Source organism: Homo sapiens, chromosome 16 (genome assembly GCF_000001405.40).
Source record: "Homo sapiens chromosome 16, GRCh38.p14 Primary Assembly".
Lineage (NCBI taxonomy): Eukaryota > Metazoa > Chordata > Mammalia > Primates > Hominidae > Homo > Homo sapiens.
In genome coordinates, this window is record NC_000016.10 from 73,285,801 (window position 1) to 73,302,350 (window position 16,550).

General features: G+C 46.9%; 1 protein-coding gene across 1 annotated transcript in view, besides 1 other annotated feature; it reads right to left on the minus strand.

Moving 5' to 3' along the window:
* ZFHX3 (zinc finger homeobox 3) overlaps nucleotides 1-16,550 on the minus strand; it is a 1,109,046-nt gene that overhangs the window by 502,916 nt on the left and 589,580 nt on the right. The gene's annotated exons all lie outside the window — the stretch shown is intronic.
* Nucleotides 3,456-3,745: an enhancer, noted in NCBI's record as "active region_11104". NCBI's record gives its function as "activates an Ori minimal core promoter by ATAC-STARR-seq in GM12878 lymphoblastoid cells {active_cell/tissue: GM12878}" and the evidence as "EXISTENCE:reporter gene assay evidence [ECO:0000049][PMID:35858748]".

A 16,550-nucleotide genomic window follows, 5' to 3' on the forward strand; every position in this document is an offset into this window, starting at 1 on the left:
GGGGTTTTTGGCTGTTGTTTTTCAAACATATTACACATATTTTTACATTATTAAAAACACACGCTTCCGCACAACACCATTTCCCCAGAAGCCTCTCTGGCTGACTAGTGTCAAGCCTGGTGATTTATAAGATTGTTTGCATATATTATATTTTAAAACACATATTGCTTTTGTAAAACGCGTATTTATTATACATTTTGGAATTCATAATATGCGCAGAAAAGCAGCCTCCGCCTGGCTGGATCTGAGACAGTCTGTCACGTAAACACATTTCTGGAAGGGACTTCATACAAATGCTTTAGACGGGGCCAACCAATTCTTCCCTCCGCGGCTCCCATGGTCTCTCCCTCCCTCTCTCTCTCTGTCTCTCTCTCTCACACACACATGCCCCTCTCCCCCTCCTCCTGCACGTCACACCCATACAAATAAATAATAAAAACAGTAATGGAACAACGGCCCCAGAGGAAAGCTCTGTTAGGAATAAACCTGATTTTCAAAGCTGCACAAAAATCATCAAGCAAAGTAACCTTGTGAAAAGCAACAATTCAGAACCCTATAGATTGGGCGGCCCCAAATTAGGGAAATGGCTCTGTGAACCCCAGTCAAGTACGTTCTTCAAATACCTCAAGCTGTGACCTTAAGTACAAGACTTGATTTGAAATCAAATTGTGTGGTTGGTGTACGGGAAGAGTGTTCCAGACCCCGGTCTCCTTGGTAAGGCTGTGTGGGTCGGTGTGTGGCTGTGTGGGTGTGTGCGTTGGTGTGTGGCTGTGTGGGTCTCTGCGTAGCTGTGTGGGTCTCTGCGTAGCTGTGTGGGTGTGTGGGTCTGTGTGTAGCTGTGTGGGTGTATAGGTTTGTGTGTGGCTGTGTGGATGTGTGGGTTGGTGTGTGAGTGTGAGTGTGTGGGTGTGTGGGTTCATGTGTGGCTGTGTGGCTGTGTGGGTTGGTGTGTGGCTAAGTGGGTTGGTGTGTGGCTGTGTGGGTCAGTTTGTGGCTGTGTGGGTTGGTGTGTGGCTGTGTGGGTCGGTGTGTGGCTGGTGAGTCGGTGTGTGGGTGTGTGGTTGTGTGGGTGTGTGGGTTGGTGTGTGGCTGTGTAGGTGTGTGGGTTGGTATGTGTGGCTGTGTGGGTTGGTGTGTGGCTATGTGGGCCAGTGTGTGGCTGTGTGAGTGTGGGTCAGCGTGTGGGTGTGTGGGTCAGTGTGTGGCTATGTGGGTTTGTATGTGGCTGTGTGAGTGTGTGGGTTGCTGTGTGGCTGTACGGGCCAGTGTGTGGCTGTGTGGGTGTGTGGGTAAGTGTGTGGCTGTGTGAGTGTGGGTCAGCGTGTCGGTGTGTTGGTTGGTGTGTGGCTGTGTGAGTGTGTGGGTTGCTGTGTGGGCCAGTGTGTGGGTGTGTGGTCAGTGTATGGCTGTGTGGGTTGGTGAGTGGCTGTGTGGGTCAGTGTATGGGTGTGTGGGTGTGTAGGCCAGTGTGTGGGTGTGTGGGTCAGTGTGTGGCTGTGTGGGGTGGTGTGTGGGTGTGTGGGCCAGTGTGTGGGTGGTGGGTGTGTGGCTGTGTGGGTCGGTGGGTGGGTGTGTGGGCCAGTGTGTGGGTGGTGGGTGTGTGGCTGTGTGGGGTGGTGTGTGGGTGTGTGGGCCAGTGTGTGGGTGGTGGGTGTGTGGCTGTGTGGGTCGGTGTGTGGCTGTGTGGGTTGATGAGTGGCTATGTGGGGTGATGTGTGCATGTGTGGCTGTGTGGGTGTGTGGGTCAGTGTGTGGCTGTGTGGGTCGGTGTGTGGCTGTATGGGTTGGTGAGTGGCTGTGTGGGTGTGTGGGTCAGTGTGTGGCTGTGTGGATTGGTGTGTGGCTGTGTGGGTTGGTGAGTGGCTATGTGGGTTGATGTGTGCGTGTGTGGCTGTGTGGCTGTGTGGGTCAGTGTGTGGCTGTGTGGGTCGGTGTGTGGCTGTGTGGGTTGGTGAGTGGCTGTGTGGGTGTGTGGGTAAGTGTGTGGGTGTGTGGGTCAGTGTGTGGCTGTGTGGGTCAGTGTATGGCTGTGTGGGTTGGTGAGTGGCTGTGTGGGTCAGTGTGTGGATGTGTGGGTTGGTGTACGGCTGTGTGGGTGTGAGCCGGCAGCAGGCTCATGAAAATCCAGGAAAACAAACATCCCCATTCAGGAGGAGCCCTCCTCCAAGCCTTCTTGCTGTCCCCTCCGTTCCTCCCTCTCACAGGATAGAGAGCGTCCCCAGCATCTGGGCCGGCGGAGATGGACTGCCTGTGCCCCCATTAATGCTCTGACCCTGCACATTTGCTCTTAGCCGTTCCATCTCAGCAGGGAGCCAAGGAGGAGGGTGGGGGTCTGGCTCTTTATCAGCCTCTCTTGCCTGTCACCCCATGGAGGGAGGGAGGGAGGGAGAGAAGGGGGACTTTGGGGGCTGGGGTGGAGAGGTGGGAAGGAGATGGAAAAGGAGATGAAAGCAGCCAGAATTATTTCTCAAATAAAAATCCGGCCAGGGGATTGCAGGCTCCCAGTCCCAGACAGAAGCTGGACATCCCTCCATGTGGTTCTGTTTCTCGATCCTGTCCTATTAGCGTAAAAAGGAAAAAGGAAGGCCAGGTGCTGAGACCTCCTTGCTGATGGGCACTTACAAAATGGAAGGGACGAGATTGCACAGACCTGCCCCTGCACTGATAGCTGAAGACGCTTTTCTTCACCTACAGAAAATGAGAACCAGCTTGGAAAAACAAAAAGGCCGTGCGTCTAGGCTCTGTGACTTGGTCCAGATGTGCCAACTTAGCAACTCCCCACGCTGTCCGCAGCGGAGATGGATTTCTTTAACGTTCCTGTTATCAAGCCCTCCTATTTGTCGCCCCCAAACTCAGTTTCCCCCAGATGTCTTGGACTGCTTCGTTTGAGGCTTCTGCAGCAGCTGCTGCCGCTCTACACAAAAGGCGGCTCCGAGAGCCAAGATTATGTCTTCAGTGCATTACGGGCACATGCAGTGCGTATATCTTCGGTAAATAACCGCCCGTTTTCACATGGATTATTTAGAATTTCTGATGAAACTGCAGAAATGTCAATGCGGGGTCTAAGCCACCAATCGGAGAGCGGCTCCGCGACCCCTCTCTTCTTCAGCAAGACTGCTATTATCTTCAAGGGGAAAAAAAACCCTCTTTGTCTCTTGTTATACCTTTTTTATGATCTAGGATGCTGTTAATAACGACTTTGTGTTACATAAAACAGATAAATTAATGTCACCAAGTCCCCAAAGTACTGAATCAACCCTACTCCTTCAAAGGAAAGCAGAAAGTGTATGAACTGAAGGCCAGGACTGAAGAGGGGCTCCTCTCCTAAAATGGGAGAGGTCCTCCAATCGCTGGCCTGTTCCTATTTGAAATGCAATATTTAAAAACCGTGTGGCTGGGGAGGAAAATGCCGCTGTCTGGCTGAACATCCCTCCAAAGGGGAAATCGAGCGTGTGGTTTTAGTTGGTGATTTAAAGCTCCTGTAACTCATTATATGTGTGTGTTCCTGCTCCAGCCATTCAGAGCAAGGGCAGGGTGGGGGGAGGTAGGTGGTTCCCTCATTAGCAATTACTCTACCCTTTTGGTGGGGATGTAAGAGGGTGACTCAAAACAGCATCTTCAGGGAAGCCCAGCTGTGTGTTTTCAAGGTGGGGAAAAAACCTGGCTTTGCACGCCATGTGAAGAGCCCCAGATATGTATCTCTAACAGGAGGGGACGGGGCACATGAAACATTTCTCAGCAGCTCAGAGGTACTGCTCTCTAATCCACAGCTGAGGTCCTAGGCTGGCAATCCAAGCCATGTCCCCAGGGCACCTTGAGTGCCATCCCCAAGCAGGAGCTGCATCATCCTTTCCTAGTACACCCGCTCTGCAAAGCCAGTGTGGCTGGTCTCGGTCCTACTGGTCAGTGGTGGCTAAAGAGACAAAACAACCACCCATTTACCATTCTGGTGAGCCCCCAGGGGAGCAGGAGACCCTACCAGGTGCACCGAAATGTGGCTACAAACCAGGAATCCAGGAGGGAGTGTGAGAGAAAGGGGATCTGCAGAAAGCCTTGTTGGGTGGGATGTCCACACCAGGCCCCCTGTGTCAAGTCACCCGGGGCCCCTTTGGGATGCCCCCTTCAGGGGTGCTGAGGAAAGGTGGTTTCTGAGCCTCAATTCCAATATGAAGATTATAATGTGGAAGTGATAGGTATTAATTAGAGAGAAATAACCACACACACACACACACACACACACACACACACACATATAGACATTTATATACGAACTAAGAACATAAGCTCATTTCTGTAAATCACAAGGTTTCAAACAGTATTCATTGAGTGCTCGCCATATTCCCCAGTGCTAGGCACAGGGGAATCAGGAAGGAGTCCAAATAGACTCTGTGCCTTCCCTGATGGAGATTATAGCTTCGTGAATTCCCTAACTGACAGCCCCTAACCAAACGATGGGAAGTGAGTATAAAACTGCAGTGTTCAGCACCATGAGAACCTGAGAGAGAGACTGGAAGCTCATCTGGGAGGTCAGGAAAGCCCCCTCGAAAAAAACACACTAAAGCTGAGATGGAAAAGATGAGTTGGCATGAAGCAGGTGAAAAGGTGTTCTAGGAAGAGGGAAGAGCCTGTGCAAAGGCCCTGGGGTGGGCAGGGGCCTGTTTAATGCAACAGAAGGAGGATGCCATGGGGTCCTCAGCTAAAAATGTTCCAAGCCTGAAGCCTAACTTGTAGGTTTCAGCCTAGTAGGTTTCCAGAAGGAATAGAGGTGGACAGGGAAGAGAGGTGGAAAAGGACCCCAACTGGGTGTGGGCTCAGAGTGTGGGACTAATGGTGAGATGGGTTTCTTCTACTATGCTACATGTCACAAAGCTGCTTGTCTTTCACTGGGAGCCTGCTCTCTTCCCTGGTGCTTTTTGGGTTTCAGTGTAGATAGAGGAGGAAAGAGCCACTAAGGTGCTTCGCAGAGCCAGCAGCCTCTCAGGCTATTTCTCAAGTTCCCAGATAGCTTGGGGGCTTAGCTGTGTTGGGAGTAGAATTAAGGAACCTTGGTTAGTGGGATAAATTCCTATTCAGAGCAAAGCCATGAGGATCTTTTGGGAGCAAATGGGAAATGCAGAACATAGAGAACTAGAAAACATGGCCTTGGGAAAAAACATCATGAGAACCTTCTGACCAGGGCTGGTGATATCTGCAGCAGATCAGGAGGGCTTAGAAGATGTAAAACCATTAGAAACACATTCTAGCCAATCAAGTTGACCTCGCCTGCCACAACAAACCCAATCCAACTAAACCCCACAGCACAGAAGTGCAGTTTGTGAAGCTGATGACCAAGTGCTCTCAGTGTCTGTAGAGTTATCCCATTCTCCTTCCAACGGTACCCATGGTTTAGGCTTCCTGACAATCAAACCCCACACCAGCTCTGTATATGTTCACCTAGACACGGGCCTTCCCCATCTTCATCCCCACTGATGTCTCTGGCTGCCTAGGGTACAGCTGGGCCCATGGCCATCATCAAAGGGAAGGCAGGGGTGAGGAATTCGGGGAGCTGCCAGTGAAAAAAAGCTCTCGGAGTTTCCAGGTTCTTGAACATTTTCTCTGGAATGAAGGTTTATTGGCTCCTTGCTGGTTATGAGATTATACGCCAGTCCTCCAGAGATACGTGTGAAGGATCATGTAAATCCCACATTCTGGCAGAAAGAGACAAACACTAATTTTTACATTAATGACATCTCAACATGGAGTTGCTCAGGAGAGCATCTGCTCACCCCTGATTAGAAAGCCTGAAGTGTGAACAGCATCTGTTCTCTCGCCTCTCCCTCTCTGTAATGGACAGCCACCAGAAGAGGTCTTAGCACCTGGTAAGCAGGTGTATTGCCCCTGAAGGAATAGGCAGGTACCTTTAACTATATGCATTACCTAGAACCTGTCATGAGCCATATGGCCATTTCTAGAAGGCTGGATAGGCTTTTGAGAAGATGCTTTTGATCATTCTACATGAGAGATCTATATAAACTGCCAAGGTTAATAGGGCCTGGCTTGGGGGCTGTCTCTGAGTATGCCACATATTCTGGGAAGAACTTCTGGGTGCTAGTCACTTGGCAAGCATCTCACTTTTGTCTTTGTTTGATAATGTTTTATTTACATTTGTAGAAATGGTCTGGATAGAGCTCTCTGTACCTCTCCTCTGGGTAAGCAGAGGGCATGCCTGGAACTGAAGTTTCTAAGTATTGATATTAGTGAGGTTCTGAGATGCCATGTAAGACCATGTTCAAGTTCATTATGTTACTTATCTTATAGATAGTTGTATAGATTGGGGAGGAAACCCTAAAAGCAAAAATAAAACAAATCAAAGGGAAACACTGCCCATGTTAGAAGACAGAAGGAAATTTATTATTAACAAGAGAAAGAAGTGGAATCAGGGCAGGTTAATGACCTTGGCTGTGATTAGTGTCCTTTACCGAGCACAGCACAGGGTGTGACATGTGGGTATAGATATTTCTCCAGGGTGATGGCTAGGATGTCTCAGGCCTGAAGTAAAGGCATTCAGAGCCTGCAAAGGAGTTCTGACATTCCCTACTCCAGGGTGATGGCCCATGGCAGCATTCTGTGGCTTTAACTTCCAGCCCAAATCTAGAACCCCTTGACATTGTGAGTTATTTTATAGAAATGCCAGGTTTTATTTTAGTAGAACACTTCTAGGAGGCTAAAATGAAAACTCAAAATATGTAAATTCTGGAGGTAACAGAACAATCACCTGAAAAAGGATCTTTTATGTCCATCAGCTCCTTTCAAATCTTAAGGTAAAACATTTTCCTGAAGCTTCTAAGAGAAATTGCCCAGCTCTTCCCTTGGTGCGAATGCTTCCTACTGTGTGATGTGTGTGTGTGTGGCGGGAGCGGGCCTCAGGGGGTGCATAAGAAGGGGATGGGGTTCTTGATGGGTCACCAGGGAGAGCCTGAGGCCATGGTGAGGGGTGGCCTCTTGAGCCCAGGTAGGCTTGATTCCAAGACACATCAGTCATCTTTGTTCTGTTCATGGACTAAAGCTAGGAGGTATTCCTCGGGCTGGAAGCAGAAACTTTCTGGTATGTTCCATAGGGGACCTACATTTTGAAGAAGGTAGACAGTCTGCTGACAGTTTTGGAAGAAGCCAAGTCAACACATCTGGGATTCAGAGATGGCATCTACCATGGAGGCAAGTGGCCTCCAGAGAGAGCTTGTCCTAACTGCCTTGAAACAAAAGGGAAGAGACACTGTGCTTGTCTAAAGGTAGAACCACCTTCAAACCCGGCTGCGATGTGTGTTTTAGACCAACCTACCAGAAGAGGAACACAGGTTTGCGTGAGGAGATGGGGATGGGGACAAGAATCACATCAGAGGCAGCTGTGAGAAACCACTGCAAGATTAGAATTTTTGAGAGAGAATACCTGGGCAATACCAGAGTCACAGCTGGTAAAAGTTTGGGAAAGAGGCTATGAAGGAGACTCTGAACCCCGCTAGACCAGGAAATAACTCCACAAAGCCCTTCATGAAGCACCCAACACCAAGAGGGTAAAGACTGACTGATTTGCAGGAGGAGAACTAGGAGTTTCCATTGAAATTTCTAGGAAGGGGATTACAAATTTAAATGAAAGCCAGGAATCATCATAAATGGTACTTTCAAGATTTTGGTGCCTGTAATGTCCCTGTAGTTTAATTAACTATCTTCTATTCTCCTCTATTTTCTGCTATTGGTGCATGAAGACAATAGTGAGAAGATTCCCCCATGGATCTGGGAATGAGGAAAATGAATTAAAGGAGTGTGGATTTTGAAGTTTAACTCTTTCTGGGCACAGTCACTTCAAAGAGACAGACTAAAGCCCAGGCCAGCATGGCCATGCCTGTTGGATGTAATAGAAGAACGTGTCCATCAGAAGCATGGTGGGTCAGGGTTGGGCAGCACAGGGCAAGGTGATTCACGGAGGTGGGTAATAAGAACCATTCACTGGAGCTGAAGCAGTATTGGAGTATTACTGGCAAAGTCAACGTGGATAAAGATTCAGTGAGTGTTGTCCAAAGACCTCGAGGATTTGGGGTCATTGGCAAGAACTTCCATTGTACATTTGTTTCATCCGTTTTACTTTGATCAGATTCAACGCTCACTAGAAAACCTTTGCATTATTCCTTGGCTTTCTAAGTCAATATGCCAAAAAAAAAAAAAAAAAAAAAAAAAAACCACAAAGCTCAGTATTGAAACTCTGAAATATCTAGTTTCTGGAAAAGTTATTCTCGCTGTAAATTAATACATTTATAGTTCGATTATGATTTTAGTGACAGAGCTTGTTGTGTTGGGATATTTATGACAATTGGATATATACAGTACTATACATTTGTAAACTGTCCTTTTTTATTTCACAAATGTGGTTAAGTGAGTCTGTCCTTGAGAGGAGGAGGTCCCATTCCTGGAAGGTGGGTGTCATCGGTTTCTTAGCCTAGAAGGTTGAGAACCACATCTGGGAATATCATAAAACCAGCCAGGCGACAGACATCACGCTAAGCCTCAAAGCCTCTCCCAAGATAAGCAGCCCCTCTCCCCCAGGATGGACATGCTGTTCATATTGAAGTTTTCTACAAACAACAGCAACGATTCTTAAAACTATAAAGTGGGGGGCTGGATAATGTGCTTATTTTGGAGACAGTAGAATACAAGAAGATGGTGCTCAGTAACATAGTTTAAAAACAGGCCTGGGGGCTGGGCGAGGTGGCTCACGCCTGTAATCCCATTACTTCGGGAGGCCGAGATGGGCAGATCACCTGAGGTCAGGAGCTTGAGACCAGCCTGGCCAACATGGTGAAACCCTGTCTCTACTAAAAATACAAAAATTTGCCGGGTGTGGTTGTGGGTGCCTGTAATTCCAGCTACTCAGGGTGGCTGAGGCAGGAGAATCACTTGAACCCGGGAGGCAGAGGTTGCAGTGAGCCAAGACCGTACCACTGCACTCCGGCCTGGGCAACAAAGTAAGACTCCATCTCAAAAAAAAAAAAACCAAAAAACAAAACAGAAGAGCTCATATTGGCCATGGAAGAGGCAGAAATGTGAATTCTTACGGTTTTCTTTCATGGACGGATATTAGTCTCAACATCCACAGCCACGGCTGGGCGCGGTGACTCACGCCTGTAATCCCAGCACTTTCGGAGGCCGAGACGGGCGGATCACGAGGTCAGGAGATCGAGACCATCCTGGCTAACAAGGTGAAACCAAGTCTTTACTAAAAATACAAAAAAAATTAGCCAGGCATGGTGGCAGGTGCCTGTAGTCTCAGCTACTAGGGAGGCTGAGGCAGGAGAATGGCGTGAACCCGGGAGGCGGAGCTTGCAGTGAGCTGAGATCGCGCCACTGCACTCCAGCCTGGGGGACAGAGCAGGACTCCGTCTCAAAAGAAACAAACAAACAAACATCCACAGCCACGCTCTTCCTGAATGGCCAACTCTTGACTTTTCAAGCACTGAGCCAGTTGGGGGACGATTTTGAATCTCTGCTTCTCCCTCTTCCAATGTCCTGTTTCCTCACTGTTTAGTGTTAGAAAACGAAACTTGGTAGTGGCTGGGCATTTGCTGGTTTGGAAAGAGTATCGAATGTAAGGTGTGAATTTTTTAAAGGTTTAATTTGTGCATTTGTGCATTTGTTAAACATTTCTCATTGGCTTTGAGAATTAAGCTCCAACTACATTTCAGCACACTTTCTGAACACTGACAACCTCTTGCATGCGCAATCTGCAGAATTTTTAGGGTTGCCTGGTTTCCATTTGTAGAACTGGGTAAGAACGTTTACGATGTCAGCAAGTCCATTTGATTTTCAGTTAATGGCACAGATGGGAAGCTGCTGTGAAGCGCCTGATGGAGGGTCACCAGGAAAAAGAAGGGAGTGGGGGCCTGGGCTGGACAGGGGATGGATGAGAAGGCAGTGGCTGCCCTTTCACACTTTGTCAAGGGACTGGGGGGACAAGGGATGGTAAGGATGGAAGAGATGCATAAGCAAGAAGAATAGGGGACAGAGGGAGACCACATCTCTGGCTGGGCTTTACCCAACAGGCACCTCCTCTGCAGGAAGTAGCTTTCTCCAATCCTACCGTGGAAAAGCCACCTGTGTCTCTTGCCCCAGTTCCAATGGCACCAGCAGGAATGGTGCCCCAGCCACTGTTGGCTCCCTGGATGGGGTCTAATGGTTCAGCCACAGTCCATGCATCATCCCCAGGGAAATTCACAGTTCTAGCCCTTTCATTACAATCCCGTGTGTGTGTGTGTGTGTGTGTGTGTGTGTGTGTCTGTGTTTCAAACCATCGTGTCCTGACTTTTGCATATTCTGTTTGGAAATAATGTAGGCAATTGTTTCATATTAACAGCTAACTGCTTATGAAATTTCATTTAAGATACATAACTGAAAAAGCATAAAAATGTCCAAACTCTCTCATTTAAAAACATCACTACAAGCTAAGACCTTGTATGATAATGGGTAAGTGCAATGTTACAACTGAATTAAGAAAATGGCAGAAATAAATTCCATGAAGGAAGGATGGGAGAACTTTAATGGGCCTTCCATACCCTTGATGTGGGGAATGAATGTTAAACAGCAGCATTTCCAGGCCTCACTCTGGAAATATATCCAAGGACAGTACTGTCCTAATATGGTGATAATCTATGTGAATACAATTAGAAAATTACTCTCTTTTAGCAATATTTAAGATTGACTTGTACATTACAAGGCCCAACAAATTTACTAGACAACAATTCCGTTAATGGCTTCCTTCTTGCTTTTCACTCCTCTATTCCCCAATCCCTTATTCAGAAAGATGTATAAATAGAATTCACCCCCTTGATCTGTTACCTAAGATAGGCAGTTACGTATTTGATCATGGTTACAGGTAGATTCTTTGCATTCATTTGTCTAAGACAAATACTACTAATAATGATATTGACAATGACAATGGGAATAAACAATAACAAAGTGACAATAAAGCACCTATCATGGGCCATCTACTATTCAAAGGGCTTCAGAAGCATCCTCTCATTTACTTTATAATTGCCATGTGAAGCAGGAATTTTTTTTTTTTTTTTTTTGAGACGGAGTCTCTTTCTGTCACCCAGGCTGGAGTTCAGTGGCGCTATCTCGGCTCACTGCAACTCTGCCTCCCAGGTTCATGCCATTCTCCTGCCTCAGCCTCCCTAGTAGCTGGGACTACAGGCGCCCACCACCCTGCCCGGCTAATTTTTTGTATTTTTAGTAGAGACAGGGTTTCACCGTGTTAGCCAGGATGGTCTCGATCCCCTGACCTCGTGATCCGCCCGCCTAGGCCTCCCAAAGTGCTGGGATTACAGGCATAAGCCACTGCGCCGAGCCAGCAGGAATGATGATTAACCATTTTTTAAGATATGGAAACTGAGGTTAAGAAAGGCTAAGTAATTGACCAAGGTTGCCAAGCTCGCAAGTGGTGGAGCCAAGATGCAAACCCAGGTCTCAAAGCCCACGTGTTTAATAATGAAGAGCCCTCTTATGTTCCTGGTGCTGTAGCCACTGACTCTAGGACAAACCTACATGTGTGTTGAAAAGCACTGTCCTTCCCCAGACAGCTGGTAACCCTGTTATCTTACATGGACACAGTAGGAGCCCTACAAACATGTATATTTACAACAAATATCCAACCCCTATTTTTAGTCTTATTTATAATGCAGCTTGAGTAGGTAGACCTGGTAAATGTAGGATAAACTATTAAAGGTAGAAGTAAGCCAAATCCTTCTATCCACAACCTGCTTGCTTTAGCATGCAGGAGTCAAACGGGACACATGTAGCCCTGATACCTCATGGACTTCTCATTTTAAAAGAGAAACAAGAAGGAGTGTAAGGAGAATGCTGATGAGCTTTGGAGATAGGGAGACCAGGTTCAAATCTGTTCTTTTATTACGTGACCTTGGGCAAGTTATAGAACCTCTCTGAGCCTCCATTTCTTCTCTGGAAAGTGTCTGTGCGATAATAACCTTATCTTGTAGAGTTGTTCAGCTGAATAAATGAGATAGCACTTAGCACAGTTCCTGGCACATAATGAGAACATAATTCACATTAGACTTTGTCCAGGCTTGGTGACTGACACCTATAATCCCAGTGCTTTGGGAGGCTGAGGGGGGAAGGTCACTTGAATCCAGGAATTTGAGACCAGCCTGGGCAACATAACCAGACCCTGTCTCTAAAAAAAATAAATAAATAACAATTAGCCAGGCATGGTGGCATGTGCCTATAATACTAGCGACCTGGGAGGCTGAGGTAGGAGGAGTGCTTGAGTCTAGGAGTTTGAGGTTACAGTGAGCTATGATTGAGTCACTGTATTCCAGCCTGAGTGAGAGAGCAAGACCCTGTCTCTAACAACAACAACAACAAAAATCAGAATTTTTTTTTTTTTTTTTATATGGAGCTTGATCTCAGCTCACTGCAACCTCCGCCCCTCCCAGGTTCAAGCGATTCTCCTGCCTCAGCCTCCCGAGTAGCTGGGATTACAGGTATGTGCCACCATGCCCGGCTAATTTTGTATTTTTAGTAGAGATGGGGTTTCTCCATGTTGGTCAAACCAGTCTCGAACTCCCGACCTCAGGTGCTCCGCCTACCTCAGCCTCCCAAAGTACTGGGATTACAGGTGTGAGCCACTGCGCCCAACCTATTTATGTTGTCGTCGTTTTTTTTTTTTTTTTCACTTCTTTAATCAACAATTTTAAGAGAGACTGTTGTTGATTGTGTAGAGGGCAATAAGGTAGAAAGCTCACAGAGCATATTTTAGACTTCTGGGCCTTACCAAGTGGTGCAGTGGCCAGCTGTGATGCTCTTAACTGTGAGGCCAATGGATGGAGGCTGAGCTCAGCAATGCGAACTGATGGGCTTTTACTGAGAATCTCCACTTAGACAGGCATGGGGGCAGGGAAGGGAGATGCTGTAAGCAAAAGAGAAACTAACATTCCAGGAATACCTACCATATGTCAGTTACCACAGTGAAAATTTGTTTCGTTACTGATAGTGATGCCTGACGTAAGGTAAGGTCTCTACTTTGCAGAGCTGTGGATACAGTCAGAACAATTTCACTTCAGTTTGTAAATGTATGAAAACAAAAGCTATGTGTATTTCTTAAAGATCTCAAACAACACCAGTATCTGTGCAGACAGGGAGAACTACAAGGGGATGAAGTTCCAGAAAAGGGTGTTCTTACTTTCTAATGTCAAAAAGTCTCTAAACTGACTAATTTTCTCTCTAAATATAAATTATGATGATGATTATTTTACAGACTGGGGTCCGGTTACCAGCCCCTAGAGTCACATACAGCATCTGAGCCCTACTACAATAGTCCTTAGACAATCTAGTACAATCTATACATTTGAAACAAACATTCCTTAATTTATTATTGCAGCCAGATATTGAAATAAGTTATAGCATCCGAACATTGCTGTTCAGCCCCTAGAAGAGAAAAAGCATTTTCCAGGGACATTTTGCTTGGAGTTCATAAGAGGGTGAAATAATGTAACAATAGAATCTCTATCCCCAGCCACCTCCTGACTAGGCAGTTCTACCTCCAACATCAAAGCTGCTGCATTAAAATTTAATTTGAATTTAAAATCCCTGACAGGGCCCAACACTGGGGAAGCAGGGGTTAACCACTGAGATAATGAGGCCATCGCTGCCACCGCTGATTCTGTTGACAGTATTGTATCACCTAATGAATGTGGCGATATAAATCTTGATGAGGGGCAGGCCTGAGTCTCTGGAAAAGTAATGATCATGAGGAAGAGGCAAGAGCCCATGCTGCAGACGAAGAGGAAAACCAAGAACGTGCCCCAGCCCAGGAGGAGCAGGCTGAGACCTGGGCCCGCAAAGGGCAGGCTGACTGGCCCTGTTTATTTACCCAAAATGCCCCATATTTCATCGTGCAAATCATAGGGCCTACCATGTTTGCAGGATTTGACGGAAGCAAACAAAAGGTAATGAGAAGCATGCTATATGCTTCTAAGTCAATTCTCCACTGGCCCAGCAAAGCAGACCTATGACAATTACCAAAAACAATTAGGGTAGTCTCATGATCTCTCTCTTTCTTCTGTGGCAGAAAGAAAGCATTTTACAAATCTGAATGATTTGTGTTCTCATCTGAAGTCTCTACTTTATTTTGACTGTGATGGATAGTACCATGAATTGCTTTGGCTTTTTTCAGTTAACAAGTTTGGTGTGATTCCTTTGCTACTGTTCCTTCCCAAATGTGCTCCAAGGGCTACTTGGCAAGACAAAGGACAAAAAGTAAACTAATCAGCTGGGCATGGTGGTGTGCACCTGTAGTCTCAGCTACTCAGGAGACTGAGGCTTGAGCCCAGATGGCTTGAGCCCAGGAGTTTAAGGCTGTGGTCACCTAGAATGCCCCACTGCACACTAGCCTGGGTGACAGAGTGAGACTCTGTCTCTTAAAAAAAAAAAAAAAAAAAAGGACTCCCTGAAATGCCCCATTATAGAAAATAAAGATTCCATGAGGCCATTATAAGGATGAGGTTTGATGTGTTTCAAATAGCATGTGAACACTTCAGCAGCCCCTCTGGACTCTACCTAGAGGACACTGAGGCATAAAGATGTCCTGCAGGTGTGGCCCATAGGTGGCCGTGTGTGCCAGGATACGGGATGTTGGGAGTCTAACAGCCAAGAGTGCTCCTTGACTTTTTTTTTTTTTGGACAGAATCTCACTCTGTCACCCAGGCTGGAATGCAATGGTGTGATCTTGGCTTATTGCAACCTCTGCTCCCCAGGTTCAGGTGATGCTCATGCCTCAGCCTCCCGCGAAGCTGGGATTACAGGCGCCTGCCACCATGCCCGGCTAATTTTTGTATTTTTAGTAGAGACGGAGTTTTGCCATGTTGGCCAGGCTGGTCTCGAACTCCTGACCTCAAGCGATCTGCCCACCTTGGCCTCCCAAAGTGTTGGGATTACAGGCATGAGCCACCATGCCCAGCCTAGTCCTCTTTGACTTTGCAGACCAGTGGTCCAGGCTTTACCTGTTCCGAAAGCTGTGACATTGGGAGGTGTCCAGCACATTGATGCTGGAGCAGTCTCTGATCTTTGGTGGAGAAGGAGACTGATGTTGGAGAGCTGATAAGATCGGCCTGCATTGCTGTGGGCTGTGTCAGATGGGTGGACCCTCCTCCAATTCTAGAAGTCAGGAAATAGATTTCTCACTGAAAGAAATCTGGACATGTTCAGCATCTGGACACTCGATGGCATCTTGAAGGGACCAGCTATCTTTTTCCAGAAGTCTCAAATCTGGTTGTGTATCAGAGTCCTTTGGATAACTTCAAAATAGAAATTCTTGGGGCCATCCCTACAGAGGTTGGTTTAGGAGGACTTGGGCAGTTGTGGCCTGGACATAAGGACATCCTTTGTCTTTCCTTTTTATTCTCTTATTTTTAAAGAAACCTCCTAGAGGTGACTATCATGTTTCTGGCGGAAGAAGGAAGGATTAGAGGTAAAAGTGTGGAGCAAATAGGACAGAAAAAAATGGGAAGTCAAACTTCTTCAGAGCTTACATCAGGGTCACTCAATCTTGGATCTACTGACATTTCAGACAGGATGATTTTTTACTGTAGGGGCTGTCTTGTGCATTGTAGGATTTCTAGCAGCAACCCTGGCCTCTACCCTCCAGATGCCTACTGGAACCTCCATCAGTCGTGCCAATCAAAAACATCTCCAGATACTGCCAAATGTCCTCTGGACAGGGTTAGGGGGATACAAAATTAGCCCCAGTTGAGAACCACTGGCCTAGACAGTCCTAGAGGCCTTGCAATGTGGGCACCTCAACAAGGTCCCGATACCAAGAAAGAGAGAAAGATCATTGCCAAGTCCCTCATGGCTTAATGCAATGAGCCAGTCTTTCACCTCATGATTATATTTGGAAAAGAAACTTGATTCCAGCTTTTTTTTTTTTTTTGTGACAAGCACTCATTTAAGATTCTCTTAACACTAAAGAGAATCTTGCAGTGTGCATAAGCCTTTCTTACGGCTTCAATCTGATCCGGCAAGAGCATCCTCAAGCCCCTACCTCTGCAAAGAAGCGGAGATGAAACCTGGACAAGGGCTGTGGGTGCTGCGGCAACCACAAGGCCCGACAGAGTCCATGCAAGCCACAAACCCACGCAGGTGCGCCCCAACCTGTGCACCAGCCACACACGGGGACACCCTCTTCTCATTCCAGGTAGTGTTGACCAGGAAAATAAAAAAAAAATCCCCTTTTATTAACAAAGGGAGACAGAAGACAAAAGGAGCAGAAGATGGAAATCCTTCAAGATCTGTCTTAGCAGAAGAAAGCTCCCTTTCTCTTTCTTTTCCCCCTTTCTATGCCCTTTCTATTTTTCCTCTGTCTTGGTTCTCTCTTTCCTTTGTATCTTTTTCCCTTCCTCCCTTCTCTTTCTCTTCTCTCTCATCCCCTCCTTCCCCCTCCCTTTCTCCTCTCTCTCTCCCTCTCATTTAAAAATCCATTCAATTGGCTTGCCCAGCAACCTTACAGA